This window comes from Homo sapiens, chromosome Y (genome assembly GCF_000001405.40).
Source record: "Homo sapiens chromosome Y, GRCh38.p14 Primary Assembly".
NCBI classification, from domain to species: domain Eukaryota; kingdom Metazoa; phylum Chordata; class Mammalia; order Primates; family Hominidae; genus Homo; species Homo sapiens.
The window spans coordinates 22,782,873-22,797,682 of NC_000024.10; the positions used below are offsets into that span (position 1 = coordinate 22,782,873).

Genomic DNA, 14,810 nt, shown 5'->3' on the forward strand with positions numbered 1-14,810 from the left:
GCAAACCAAGAAAAATCTAACCTTCACCACTTAATAGCTGTGTGAAGTTAGACTGCTTAATCTTTGAAATTTACCCAATCAGCAAAGAGAATATAATAACGGTATCTACTGGATATTAGTATCATAAGATTAAAATTTACTGAGCTCACTATGTGCAACATAGTTTAGGGCTAAAAAATCTATAGAATTGTAATTACATTTATATTCAGTGAGACCTAGAGGTTTACTTGCAATCCTGCTTTCCTTAGTGACTGGTCAAAGCTACACAAAATATATTTAAAAAATTGTGTTGCTTCTGATGTTTCACATCAAGTAAAACACCCAATTGTTTAATTATATTATTATATACTTACACTTAGACATGCCTAAACAAGGAAGACAAGGAAATGAAGAAACACACATGCATGAGTACACACACATACACACACACACACACACACACACACACATTGAAAGAATAACAAGAGAATAATTTAACAAGAGAAAGAAACATGAAAGAATTATAAGAAATCTTTGCACTATTATAGTGATGTGGAAAATAAGATGACAGATAATTTCAGAAAACACATGATTTATCAAGAATTGTTTGGAAAGAAAAACCCTATCTGTAGGCCCAGGTTGTTGGCTTAAGCCTGTAATTCCAGCACATTGGGAGGCCAAGGGGAGCCAGATGACTTGAGGCCAGGTGTTCCAGGCCAGCCTGGGCAAAAAGGTGAAACTCTGTCTCTACCAAAAACACATACAATTAGCTGGGAGTAGTGGCATGAGACTGTGGTCCCCGCTACAGGTGGTGAGCTGGGAGAATCCTTTACACCCAGGAGGTGGAGTTTGTACTAAGCGAAGATCATGCCACTGCACTCTGGACTGGGTGATACAGCATGACCCAGTCTCAAAAACAAAACAAAACAAGTAAACACACTAAATACCAAACTCGTATATAATGAATCCTAGGGAATAAACCTGAAAAACCTGCTTAGGCATCACTATTTTGCTGACAAATTATTCCTTCTTCATTTCCCTTTTTTCTTTTTCTTTTTTCCTTCCCTTCCCTTGTCTACTCTTTCTTTTCCTTTCTCCCTTCCTTCCTTCTTTTCTTCTTTTGTTTGCTCTTTTTTTTTTTTTTTTTTTTGAGACAGGGTCTCTGTCCCCGGGCTGTAGTGCAGTGGTTCCATCATAGCTCACTGCAGCCTCCCAATTCCAAGTCTCACGTATCCTTTTCCTTTGCCTCCCCAATAGTTAAGACTAAGGGAATGAGCATATGAAAGGATGATAACCATCATATATTATTGGGTAGTTGTGAATGTGATAATAAATTAAACATTAAATAGCAAAAATTCTAAAAACTGATAACAGCAAATTTAGAAGAATGTCTGGTAGGCTTTGTTTTCTTTTAACAAAACTAAACACTCTCTCAATCTCATCCAGCGGTCTTGCTTCTTGGAATTTTTCCAACTAAACTAAAAACATGTTTACATCAAAATTTGCATATGGACATGTTGTATAGTAGTTAAGTGGATAAACTGTGGTTTATGGACTATTTATCTAACACTGTTCAGCACTGAAAAAAATGAGCTTTCAAGTCATGAAAAGACATGGAAGGAAATTAAATGTATATTTACAAGTGAAATAAGCAAATCAGAAAATGCTACACATATTATTTCAAATATATGGCAATCTAGAAAAAAATTATTGAAGAAGTAAAAAGATTAGTGGTCACAATGATTTACAAGGGAGAGTACAATAAATAGGCACAACTCAGGTAATTATTAGAGTATACAATACTGAAACTATTCTACATAATACCATAATTTTGGATATATTTTATTACATGTTTGTCAAAACTCATAGAATGTGCAACAGTAAAAATGAGTCCTAATGTAAATTGCAGATATTGAATGATAAAGTGTTGATGTAGGTTTATGAATTGTAACAAACATACCAGTCTCATTAGAGATATTGATAGTGGGGAAGGTTGTACATGTGGGCACAGGGTGTAAGGGAGCTTTCTTTACTTGCTTCTCAATTTTGTTATAAGGCTAAAACTACTCTACTAAGATTTATTGATTTAAAAGCCTCAGTAATTAAGATCTGTATTTCAGAGCAATCGTCATAAATAATTATTAATAAAAATTAAATGTTGGACAAAATATTTTATGGAAAGATAAGATCAGTATCAATATGAATGCTATGCTAAGGAATACTGAAGCATTAAGCAAAATAAAGAATCAATAATGTGCCATCTTTAAAAATATTATAATACTTTTTTATGATTATGCATTATTTTGGATTATGAAAACATTGCATTAAAAAGTATTCTTAGTGTTGATTGTTGAATTTTTTGGTGACCTTTAACTTTTGCATTTAAAGTAATTGTATTCACTTCATCTGCTTAATTTGTAGTTTACTAAATCTTGGAATGGAATAGTAGACACAATGCAGGAGAGGCAAGCCGCAAACAGAGCTAAGCCTCCTGGTTTCTTGGCTTTGTTCAGGAAAGAATTCAATGTCAAACCAGAAGTAGAAAAAAAAAATAGCTTAGCTGATGATGAGAGGTGATAATGTGCTAGCAGCCCTCGCTTGCTCTTGGTGCCTCCTCGGCCTCGGAGTCTGCTCTGGCTGTGCTCCAGGAGCCCTTCAGCCTGCCACTGCACTGTGGGGGCCCCTCTCTGTGGCTGGCTGAGGGTGGAACCAGCTCCCTCTGCTCACGGGGAGGTGTGGAGGGACAGGTGCCAGTGGGAGCCAGGGCTGTGCATGACACTCCTGGGCTGACATTGGTTCCATGTGGGTGCAGGCTGGGTGGGCCCCACACTCAGCGAAGCTGGCCAGCACCTGCTGGGCTTGATCAGAGGATGAGCTCCCTCTGGGCTGCTGGAGTGCCTGGGCTAGATGCCACAAAGTCCCCAGTGAGTTCCATTGAGAGGTGAAGCCAGCTGGGCTTCTGGGTCAGATGGGGACTTGGAGAACTTTTCTGCCTAGCTTAAGGATTGTAAATGTGCCAATCAGCACTCTGTGTCTAGCTAAAGGTTTGTAAATGCACCAATTAGAGCTCTGTGTCTAGCTAATCTGGTGGCAACTTGGAGAACTTTTGTATCTAGCTAAAGGATTGTAAATGCACCAATCAGCACTCTGTCTAGCTAAGTTATTGTAAATGCACCAATAAGCACTCTGAGAAAACCGACCAATCAGCTCTCTGTGAAATGGACGAGTGAGCTCTATGTGAAATGAACCAATCATTAGGATGTAGGTGGGGCCAGATAAGGGAATAAAAGCAGGTCACCCGAGCCAGCAGTGGCAATCCACTCAGGTCCCCTTCCATGCTGTGGAAGCTTTGTTCTTTCGCTCTTTGCAATGAATCTTGCTGCTGCTCCTTACTTGGGCCCACATCACCTTTATTAGCTCACCGTGAAGGTCTGCAGCATCACTCCTGAGGCCAGTGAGATCATGAACCCACCACGAGGAATTAACAACTCCAGACAAGCTGCCTTTAAGAGCTGTAACAGTCTCCGCGAAGGTCTGCATCTTCACTCCGGAAGTCAGTGAGACCACCAGAAGCAAGAAACTCTGGACACATCTGAACATCTGAAGGAACAAACTCTAGACACACCATCTTTTAGAACTGTAACACTCACCACTAGGGTTGGCAGCTTCATTCTTGAAGTCAGTGAGACCAACAACCCATCAATTCCAGACGCATTTTGGCAATCACAAAGGTACTATCGCCTATCACCAAGCAGTGAGACTATCAGCAAGTGGTAAGACCATCGCCTATTGGTGAGATCATCACCTACTGCCAAGTGGTGAGTACCATCAGACCCCTTTCTCTTGCTATTATGTGCTATTTTTCCCTAGAATTCTGGGGCTAAATATTGGGCACTTTCGGCCAGTTAAAAGCAACTAGCGTGGCTGCTGGACTAAAGACACGGGTGTCAGCCTTTCTGAAAAGGGCTCTCTAACAACCCCCGACTCTTTGGAGTTGGGAGCGTTGGTTTGCCTCAAACCAGCTTCCACTTTTCCTGTAATTCTGGGCCAAGCCAAGGGTTGACAGAGAGGAAAGCCATTCGGCTCCAGGGTCCTGACAACAAGTTGGTTGACCCTGCAGCCATGAGCAGAACTCTCAAAGGCATGTTGCCCAAGAGAGACTCGTCCATCTATCCTATCTATCTTGACACTTGCCCCTGGGTCCTAATGCCTGCCAGACAAACTTCCTCTTGCCACTTTTCTCTGAGGCTAGCCCCACTTCTAAAAACCATTCCCTGTCTCTGGTGCTTCCTTAGTTTCTGCTATAATATGATTTCTAGTGTAAGCTTCAGGACTCTGTTACCTTCCTCAGGCACCTGGGCTCACCAATCAGAAAAACATATTTTTTGCCCAAAGCCCCATTGCAGGGGGAAATATCTGGAATTTTAGGATCCCACCTCAGACTAGCAGGCCTAACAAAAGCTATTGCTGAAGCTAGGATATGGGGAGCCTCAGAAATTGTATCCTTCTTATTCACATAAGTGAGGACAAAAGGTGTCACACTTCCAAACCTGGAGATCATTTCCTTCCCTCAGGTTATGGACCTCCACTTCTTTTTTTGGGCATAATATCTTTATAGGACACAGATAAGGTCCCAGTACTAAGAGGAGAATGCTTAGGACTCTAACAGGTTTTTGAGAATGCATCAGTAAGGGCCACTAAATCCAATTTTTTCTGGTCCTCCTTGTGGGCTAGGAGGACAGGCAAGGGTGCAGCTTTCCCAAAATGCATCAGAAAGGGCCACTAAATCTGACCTTCTTCACTCCTCCTTGTGGTCTTGGAGGAAAACTAGTGTTTCTGCTGCTGCATTGGTGAGTGCAACTATTCTGATCAGCAGGGTCCAGGGACTGTTGTGGGATCTTGAGCAGGCATTGTCCCTCCTGCTGCATCAGTGAGCACAACTATTCTGATCAGCAGTGTCCAGGGACCATTGTGGGTTCTTGGGCAGGGGGAGAAACAAAACAGAACAAAACCATAGGCAGTTTTGCCTTTCAGATGGAAAACACTCCGGCATCAAGAGGTTCACCCTTGAAATGCATCCTAAGCCAATGGTACCAATTTGACACACCAATCCTGAAAAGTAGGTGGCTCATTTTTTTCTGCACTTTGGCTTGCCCCAATATTCTCCCTCTGATGGGGAAAAATGGCCACCTGAGGGAAGTACAAATGACAATACTATCCTACAGCTTGACCTCTTTTGTAAGAGGGAAGGCAAATGGAGTGAAATGCCTTATGTCCAAGCTTTCTTTTCATTGAAGGAGAATACACAACTATGCAAAGTTTGCAATTTACACCCCACAGGAGGACATTTCAGCTTACCCCCATATCCTAGCCTCCCTACAGCTCCCCTTCTTATTAATGATAAGCCTCCTCTTATCTCCCCTGCCCAGAAGGAAATAAGCAAAGAAATCTCCAAAGGACCCCAAACCCTCCAGACTATCAGTTATGCCCCCTACAAGCTCTAGGGGAAGGGGAATTTGGTCCAACTCAGATACATGTACCCTTCTCCCTCTCTGACTTAAAGCAGACCAAGGCAGACCTGGGGAAGTTTTCAGATGATCCCGATAAGTACATAGATGTCCTACAGAGTCTAGGGCAAACCTTTGACCTCGCTTGGAGAGATGTTATGCTACTGTTAGGCAAAAGCCTGGCCTTTAATGAAAAGAATGTGTCTTTAGCAGCAGCCCGAGTTTGGAGATACCTGGTATCTTAGCCAAGTAAGTGATAGAATGACAGCTGAAGAAAGGGAAAAAATCCCTACCAGTCAGCAAGCCATCCCCAGTATGGATCCCCACTGGTATCTTGACTCAGATCAGGGGGACTGGAGTCGTAAACATCTGTTGACCTGTGTTCTAGAAGGACTAAGGAGAATTAGGAAAAATCTCATGAATTATTCAATGATGTCCACCATAACTCAGGGAAAGGAAGAAAATCCTTCTGCCTTCCTTGAGTGGCTATGGGAGGCCTTATGAAAATATACTCCCCTGTCACCCGAATCACTTGAGGGTCAATTGATTCTAAAAGATAAGTTTATTACCCAATCAGCCACAGATATCAGGAGAAGGCTGCAAAAGCAAGCCCTTGGCCCTGAACAAAATCTAGAGGCATTATTAAACCTGGCAACCTCCATGTTCTATAATAACGACTAAGAGGAACAGGCCCAAAAGGAAAAGCAGGATCAGAGAAAGGCCGCAGCCTTAGTCATGGACCTCAGACAGACAAACCTTGCTGGTTCAGAGAGGACAGAAAATGGAGCAGGCCAATCACCTGGTAGCGGTTGTTATCAGTGTGGTTTACAAGGACACTTTAAAAAAGATTGTCCAATGAGGAACAAGCCACCCCGTAATCCATGTCCGCTATGCTGAGACAATCACTGGAAGGTGCACTGCCCCAGAGGACAAAGGTTCTTTAGGTCAGAGGCCCCCAACCAGATAATCCAACAACAGGAATGAGGGTGCCCTGGGCAAGTGTCAGCTCACGTTGCGACCCTCACTGAGCCCTGGATATGCTTAACCATTGGTGGCCAGGAAATTGACTTCCTTCTGGACACTGGTGCAGCCTTCTCAGTGGTAATCTGCTGTCCTGGATGACTGTGCTCAAGGTCCGTTACCATCCAAGGAATCCTGGGACATCCTGTAACCAGGTATTTCTCCCACCTCCTTAATTGTAATTGGGAGGCTGCTCTTTTCACATGCCTTTCTTGTTATGCCTGAAAGTTCTGCACCCTTACTAGGGAGGGATATATTAGCCAAAGCTGGAGCCATTATCTACATGAATATGGGGAGTAAATTACTCATTTGTTGTCCCCTACTTGAGGAGGGAATCAACCCTGAAGTCTGGGCATTGGAAGGACAATTTCGAAGGGCAAAATATGTTCACCCAGTCCAAATCAGGCTAAAATATCCCACCACTTTTCCTTGTCAAAGGCAATATCCCTTAAGGCCTGAAGCTCATAAAGGATTACAGGATATTGTTAAACATTTAGAAGCTGAAGGCTTAGTAAGGAAATGCAGCAGTCCCTACAACACCCCAGTTCTAGGAATACAAAAACCAAATGGTCAGTGAAGATTAGTGCAAGATCTTAAACTCATCAATGAGGCACTAATTCCTCTATATCCGGTTGTACCCAAACCCTATACCCTGCTCTGTCAAATACCAGAAGAAGCAGAATGGTTCATTGTTCTGGACCTCAAGGATGCCTTCTTCTGTATTCCCCTGCACTCTGACTCGCAGTTTCTCTTTGCCTTTGAGGATCCTGCAAGATCACACATTCCAACTTACATGGACAGTCTAGACCCAAGGATTTAAAGATAGCCCTCATCTGTTTGATCAGGCACTGGCCCAAGATCTAGGCCACTTCTCAAGTCCAGGCACTCTGGTCCTTCAGTATGTGGATGATTTATTTTTGGCTACCATTTCAGAAGCCTCATACCAGCAGGCTACTCTAGATCTCTTGAAATTTCTAGCTAATCAAGGATACAAAGTGTCTAGGTCAAAGGCCCAGCTTTGCCTACAGCAGGTCAAATATCTAGGCCTAGTCTTAGCCAGAGGGACCAGGGCCCTCAGCAAGGAATGAAGACAGCCTATACTGGCTCATCCTCACCCTAAGACCTTAGAACTGTTATGAGGGTTCCTTAGAGTCACTGGCTTTTGCTGACTATGGATCCCCAGAAACGGCAAGTTAGCCTGGCCCCTCTATACTCTAGTCAAGGAGACCCAGAGAGCAAATGCTCATCTAGTAGAATGGGAACAAGAGGCAGAAATAGTCTTCAAAACCTTAAAGCAGGCCCTAGTACAAGCTCCAGCTTTAAGCCTTTCCAAAGGATAAAACTGCTCTTTATACATCACTGAGAGCAGGGATCACTCTTGGAGTCCTTACTCAGACTCGTGGGACAACCCCACAACCAGTGGCATATCTAAGTAAGGTAATTGATGAAGTAGCAAAAGGCTGGCCTCACTGTTTATGAGTAGTTGCAGTGGTGGTGGTCTTAGTGTCAGAGGCTATCAAAATAATACAAGGAAAGAATCTCACTGTCTGTACTGCTTATGATGTAAATGGCATACTAGGTACCAAAGGAAGTGTATGGCTATAAGGAAACTGCCTACTTAGACATCAGGTGCTACTCTTTGAGGGACCAGTTCTTCAAATACATATGTGTGTGGCCCTCAACCCTGCCACTTTTATCCCAGAGGATGGGGACTCCATCGAGTATGACTGCCAACAAATTATAGTCCAGACTTATGCCACCTGAGATGATCTCTTAGAAGTCCCCTTAGCTAATCCTGACCTTAACCTATGTACCGATCGAAGTTCATTAGTGAAGAACAGGATATGAAGGGCAGGTTATGCTATAGTTAGTGAACTAACCTTACTTGAAAGTAAGCCTGTTTCTGCAGGGTCCAGTGCCCAGTTAGCAGAACTAATGACACTTACCCGAGCCTTAGAACTGGGAAAAAGAAAAAGAGTAAATGTGTACACAGATAGCAAGTACGGTTATCTAATCCTACATGCCCATGCTGCAATATGGAAAGAAAGGGAGTTCCTAACCTCTGTGAGGACCCCCATTAAATACCACAAGGAAATTATACAGTTATTGCATGCAGTGGAAAAACCCAAAGAGGTGGCAGTCTTACACTGCCAAAACCATCAGAAAGGTGAAGGAGAAAAGTCAGAAGGAAACTGTTGGTTTGATTCTGAGGCCAAAATTCCTGCCAGGCAGAATCCCCCTTTAGAAATACCTATGGAAGGACCCTTAGTATGGAACAAACCCCCACCAAGAGATTAAGCCTCAGTATTCCCCACCTGAAGCAGAGTGGGGAATTTCATGGGGGCATAGTTTTCTCCCCTCAGGTTGGCTACAGAAGAAGGAAAGGTACTTATACCCAAAGCCAGCCAGTGGAAAATACGTAAAACCCTCCACCAAACTTTACATATGGGTATTGAAAACACTCATCAAATGGCCAAATCCCTATTTACAGGGCCAAATCTTCTCCAAACCATCCAACAGGTAGTCAAAGCCTGTTAGGTGTGCCAAAGGAATAATCCCTTCATCCATAGTAAGACCCCTTTGGGAGAGCAAAGAATAGGTCACTATTCTGGAAAGGACTGGCAGTTAGATTTCACCCATATGCCTAAGTCAAAGGGATTTCAATACTTGTTGGTCTGTGTTGATGCCTTTACAGATTGGATAGAAGCTTTCCCCTGCAAGACAGAGAAGGTTTAGGAAGTGATTAAACTCCTAATTCATGAAATAATTTCTATATTTGGGCTTCCCCAAAGCTTACAGAGTGAAAATTGTCTGGCTTTTAAGGCTGCGATAACTCAAGGAATTTCCAGGGTGCTAGCGATACAATATCACCTTCACTGTGCCTGGAGGCCACAATCCTCAGGGAAGGTCAAGAAGGCAAATGAAACACTTAAGAGACACTTAAGGAAACTAACACAAGAAACACATCTCCCATGGCCTAGCTATTTTGACCATTGCCTTGTTGAGAATCCGAAATTCTCCTCACAAAATGGGGCTCAGTCCATATGAAATGCTGTATGGACGATCTTTTCTCACAAAAGACCCCCTACTGGATCAGGAAATGGCCTACTTGGTCAAAGATATAACTTCTTTGTCAAAATATCAACAAAACCTTAAAAACCTACCTGAAGGATGTCACAGAGAAAAGGGAACAGAGTTGTTTCAACTCTTTGTGGGAAGGACCATACTCGGTAATCCTCTCTACTCTCACTGCGATTAAGGTGGCAGGAATGGAAACTTGGATTACCACACCTGAGTTAAACTTTGGACGTCCCCTGAGGAACCTGTGGAACCGTCAGCTCAGGAGTCCCAAGATCAGCCAGACCAGCCTCGATACACCTGTGAACCATTGGAGGACTTGCATCTTCTATTTCAGAAGGAAACATCCCACACTAAAAAGGCTCCTACCACTGATCCTGAGGAAAAACTCCTTCCTGCTTAAAAAAGATAAGTGAAAACAACACACTAACCATACTCTTTGTGATAGGATTATATACTCTAGCTCCTGCCAGTACGAAAATGCTAATCACATCAACCTTCCATCTTTCTTCTTTTAACAGCAATTTACTCCTACCTTTAACTCAGACTCGAGAAAATGATCTCTTCTTCCAGAGCATCCTCTTTACCTTCCTATTTGCTCTTTGCCTATGCATCCCTCCTGCTTCCTTGGATACCTCATATAATCACCCCTCCCCTTCCACTTTTTCCTAATTTCCTCTACAAGACTCTCAACTTAACCCAGTCTCTGTTAAACCAGTCCAGTCCTTCCCTGGCAAATGACTGTTGGCTTTGTGTCTCCCTATCAACCTCTTCTTATGTTGCCACTCCCATTCCTGCCAAAAATTGCATCTTTACCAACTTAACCTACCACCCTTGTTATGAAGGAAAAGACCCTTTCTGACTTCTAAATATGCAATCGTTAGCCAACTTCCCCATCTCTGATAGGATCAAGAATACCCTAACAGGATGTGCAATCCAACTTTTACGTTCTTAGATTTCCAACCACACCTATTATGCAAGCAATGAAAAGCCCATACATGGCCCTGTAGCTATGAATACTATCTTAACTTTCCAAGCTCCTTTATGCAGCCAATGCAACCTCTTATGAGCCTGCCCCTGGGGCACCTACTACCCCATCAGTGTAATTACACCCTACAACTTCAAGCCCCAACTGATCATAGTAACCCAAACAGCTCCATTCAGACAGCTTGTCTGCTTCTCAGGGCCCCAAAATCATCACTGCCTCCCTGCTTAACAAACGGTCCAGGTCTTGTAATGGCAAACATACTCCCTGCATGATCATTCACCCCTGGGCCCCCTGCAGCAGTGCCCCCACCACTAGTGAATGCCTTCTCATCCCCTCTTTCAATCACTCTCTCAAATTGTTCCTAGTGGATACAAAACGTTTTTTTCTCCAATGGGAAAATAGAACACAGGGAGCCATTCAGTTTTCTCCCAACACCCCTTGCCAGCCAGTCACTGGAGCTACCTTGGCAAGTACTCTAGGAGTATGGGAAAAAGAAAACAACAAATTCACACACCTTTTTAACATACACAACCAGTTCTGTCTACCCAGCCAAGGTATATTCTTCTTATGTGGAACATCGACCTATATCTGCCTCCCCACTAAGTGGACAGACAGCTGCACTTAGTCTTTCTAACTTCCAACATTAACATTGCCCCAGGAAATCAAAACTTATCAGTACCCCTCAAAGCTCAAGTCCATCAGCACAGGGCCATACAACAAATACCACCTACTTATAGGGTTAGGAATGGCTACTGCTACAGGAACCAGAAGAGCCAGTATATCTACTTCATTATCCTACTACCACATACTCTCAAAGGATTTCTCAGGCGGTTTGTAAGAAATAACGAACCTATCCTTACTCTGCAATCCCAAATAGACTCTTTAGCTGCAGTGACTCTCCAAAACCGCTGAAGCCTAGACCTCCTCACTGCTGAGAAAGGAGGACTCTGCACCTTCTTAGGGGAAGAGTGTTGTTTTTACACTAAGCCATCAGGGATAGTACGAGATGCCACCCAGCATTTATAGGAAATGGTTTCTGAAATCAGACAATGCCTTTCAAACTCATACCAACCTCTCTAGTTGGGCAACATGGCTTCTCCGCTTTCTAGGTCCTGTGGCAGCCATCTTGCTTTTACTCGCCTTTGGACCCTGTATTTTTAACCTGCTTCTCAAATTTGTTTCCTTGGAATTGAGGCCAAGAAGCTACAGATGGTCTTACAAATGGAAACCCAAATGAGCTCAACTAACAACTTCTACTGAGGACCCCTGGACCAACACGCTGGCCCTTCCACTGGCCTAAAGCGTTCCCCTCTGGAGGACACTACAACTGAAGGGCCCTTTCTTCACCTCTATCCAGCAGTGAGTAGCTAGAGTGGTCATTGGCCAAATTCCCAGCAGCAGTTGGGGTGTCCTGTTTAGAGGGGGGATTGAGAAGTGACAACATACTAGCAGCCCTCGCTCGCTCTTGGTGCTTCCTTCACCTCAGCATCCGCTCTGGCTCTGCTTGAGGAGCCTTTCAACTGGCCACTGCCCTGTGGGGGCCCCTCTCTGGGGCTGGTTGAGGCTGGGACTGGCTCCTTCTGCTGGCCTCCTGTCTAGCTAAAGGATTGTAAATGCACCAATCAGTGCTCTGTATCTAGCTAAAGGTTTGTAAACACATCAATCAGCGCTCTGTGTCTAGCTAATCTGGTGGGGACTTGGAGAACTTTTCTGTCTAGCTAAAGGATTATAAACACACCAATCAGCACTCTGTGTCTAGCTAAAGGATTGTAAACGCACCAATCAGCAGGCTGTCAAAATGGACCAATCAGCTCTCTGTAAAATGGACCAACCAGATGTCTGTAAAATGGACCAATCAGTAGGATGTGGGTGGGTCCAGATAAGGGAATAAAAGCAGGCCACCTGAGCCAGCAGTGGAAGCCTGCTCGGGTCCCCTTCCATTCTGTGGGAGCTTTGTTTTTTCACTCTTCACAATAAGTCTTGCTGTTGCTCACTCTTAGTGTCTGTGCCACTTGTATGAGCACCACGAAGGTCTGCAGCTTCACTCCTGAGGCCAGTGAGACCATGAACCCACCAGAAGGAAGAAACTCCAGACACATCTGAACATCTGAAGGAAAAAACTCCAGACACACCATCTTTAAGAACCGTAACACTCATCGTGAGGGTTCGCGGCTTCATTCTTGAAGTCAGCAAGACCAAGAACCTACCAATTCCGGACACAATGAGACAGAATTACAGCTCTTGCAGTGTTACAGCTCTGTGACTCGTCTTTCAGAACAGGGTTACACCATAGCAAGAGAGGAACAGGTCAGGGATATTTTGCAGTCATATTTATATTTGCTTTTAAATGCATGGATTATTGCAGAAGTGCAGAAATTTATAGGGAAGGGGTGGTAATCATTGGATCATTGCCATAGAAGGGTGGTACCTCCTGTGTGTTGTAGCGGCAATGGTAAAATGACACGGCAGACTGGTGGGCATGTCTGGTTGAAAACTCCTTCTGCCTAGTCCCTGTTTTAGTTAGTCCTCAATCTGGATCCTATGTGAGCCCTACCCCTGGAGTTGAGTCCCACCTTCAACCTCATTCTCCACTCAGACATTAACTACTTTCCCTTAATCTTAAGGGGGCTGCAGGAGGGAGGAGGTCCATGCACTGTAACTGCTTCCTGCTGAGTCATGAGCATTGGCCTTGCCTAGCACTAGAGAAGTAAATTTCTCTGGATGCATGAGCTAAAGGGGAGAAACAACATTATAATTCTCCAGGTCAGTACATAAGATAACTCAAAAGCCTTAAGCCAGCGTTGTTTTCACCTGGAAATATAGTAATCTACAAGATACAAACCTTACTATGAGGCTAAACAAACAAGTAAATAAATTAGTAACAATACAGCTGTCAAGGGTCCTAAGATAGATTTTAAAAAGGTGGAAAAAGAGAGAAATACCCTTCTTCACAGAAAATTGTGAAACTGACAATGATACCCTTCCTCTTCTAGAAAATTCAGGAGCTCAATTGTGTTTTTCTCAGTCTTCCCTAGTAGGAAGACCCTCTATTCCCACTGGCAGCATTATGTTGCCAATTCTGGATGAATGACTGTTGATACTTTTAAGTAGGTAGTGGCGATCTTCCAAAAATTTAGATTTAGGTTACAGTGTCCTCCATTTGTGCCTGCAACTTATAAGAAACAGGTTTAATCCTGGACAATTGTATCCAACTAGGTATGCCCTAAAGTTTAAAAGGACTGGGATAGTCAACAACACCTGATAGGGGCCCTTCTGTTTTGGTTGTAATTGATTCTCAGGGGATGCTTCTTTCAAAATGTTTACAAAGTTTCATGATTGAATAGGAGGCCAGTTAATTGTGTTGTGAGAGGGGACAATACTTTTTGTCCATAGGCTTGGAGGAGTTTTCTAACCTAGCTTAAGTTGACAATATGTGTCAACTTATGAGTTAACTATGTATCTCTTTATTAAGCAGGAGACCCCAAGCTAAACATGGCCTCACATAACTCGCCTCAAGTGGATTTTTTGGGAAGTATTTTAAGGGTCATTCCTATGTGTATAAAGACTATGGCTAAGAGAGGAACCTGGGTCTCTGAGGTCTCCTGACATGACTTAGCTAATGTCTTTTCAAAACATGATTAGATTTTTCTATTTTACCTGAGGATTGAGTACTCCATGGGGAGTGAAGGTGATAGGTAACGTCTAAAGCTGAATGCAATCTATTGGGTCACTCTAACTGTGAAGGTAGTTCCATTATCGCTCTGCAGACTTTCAGGTAATTGAAACTTTACAGTTGATCTTATTAAGTAAAAATTTGGACACTCATAATGCCTTCTCTGTCCTTGTGGGAAAAGCCTCAATTCACTTGGTGAAGGTGTCTATAAAAACAGGCAAATGTTTCCTTCACCTGTATGGTTGTATCTGATAAAACCCTATTTGCTGACTGGGCTTGGTGGCTCACACCTGTAATCCCAGCACTTTGAGAGGCCAAGGTGGGTGGATAACGAGGTCAGGAGATTGAGGTCATCCTGGCCAACACAGCAAAAGCCCATCTCTACTAAAAATACAAAATTAGCTGGGCACGATGGCACGTGCTTGTAATACCAGCTACTTGGGAGAGTGAGGCAGGAGAATCTCCTGAACCTGTGAAGTGGAGGTTGCAGTGTACAGAGATCGTGCCCCTGTACTCCAGCTTAGCGACAGAGTGAGACTCCTTGTCAAAAACAAACAAACAAACA

The 14,810-nt window shown here is 43.5% G+C and overlaps 1 long non-coding RNA gene across 2 annotated transcripts; it reads left to right on the forward strand.

Annotated features, from left to right (window-relative positions):
• Positions 1–3,341: 3,341 nt before the first annotated feature.
• LOC107987348 (uncharacterized) lies at positions 3,342–14,579 on the forward strand. 2 transcript variants are annotated; one of them, XR_001756081.1, is made up of 3 exons: positions 3,342–3,797; positions 9,299–11,931; positions 12,573–14,579. It is a non-coding gene; the product is annotated as an uncharacterized LOC107987348 (long non-coding RNA). The 2 variants fall into 2 exon arrangements; XR_001756080.1 differs by having other exon boundaries at positions 9,767–11,931.
• Positions 14,580–14,810: the final 231 nt, after the last annotated feature.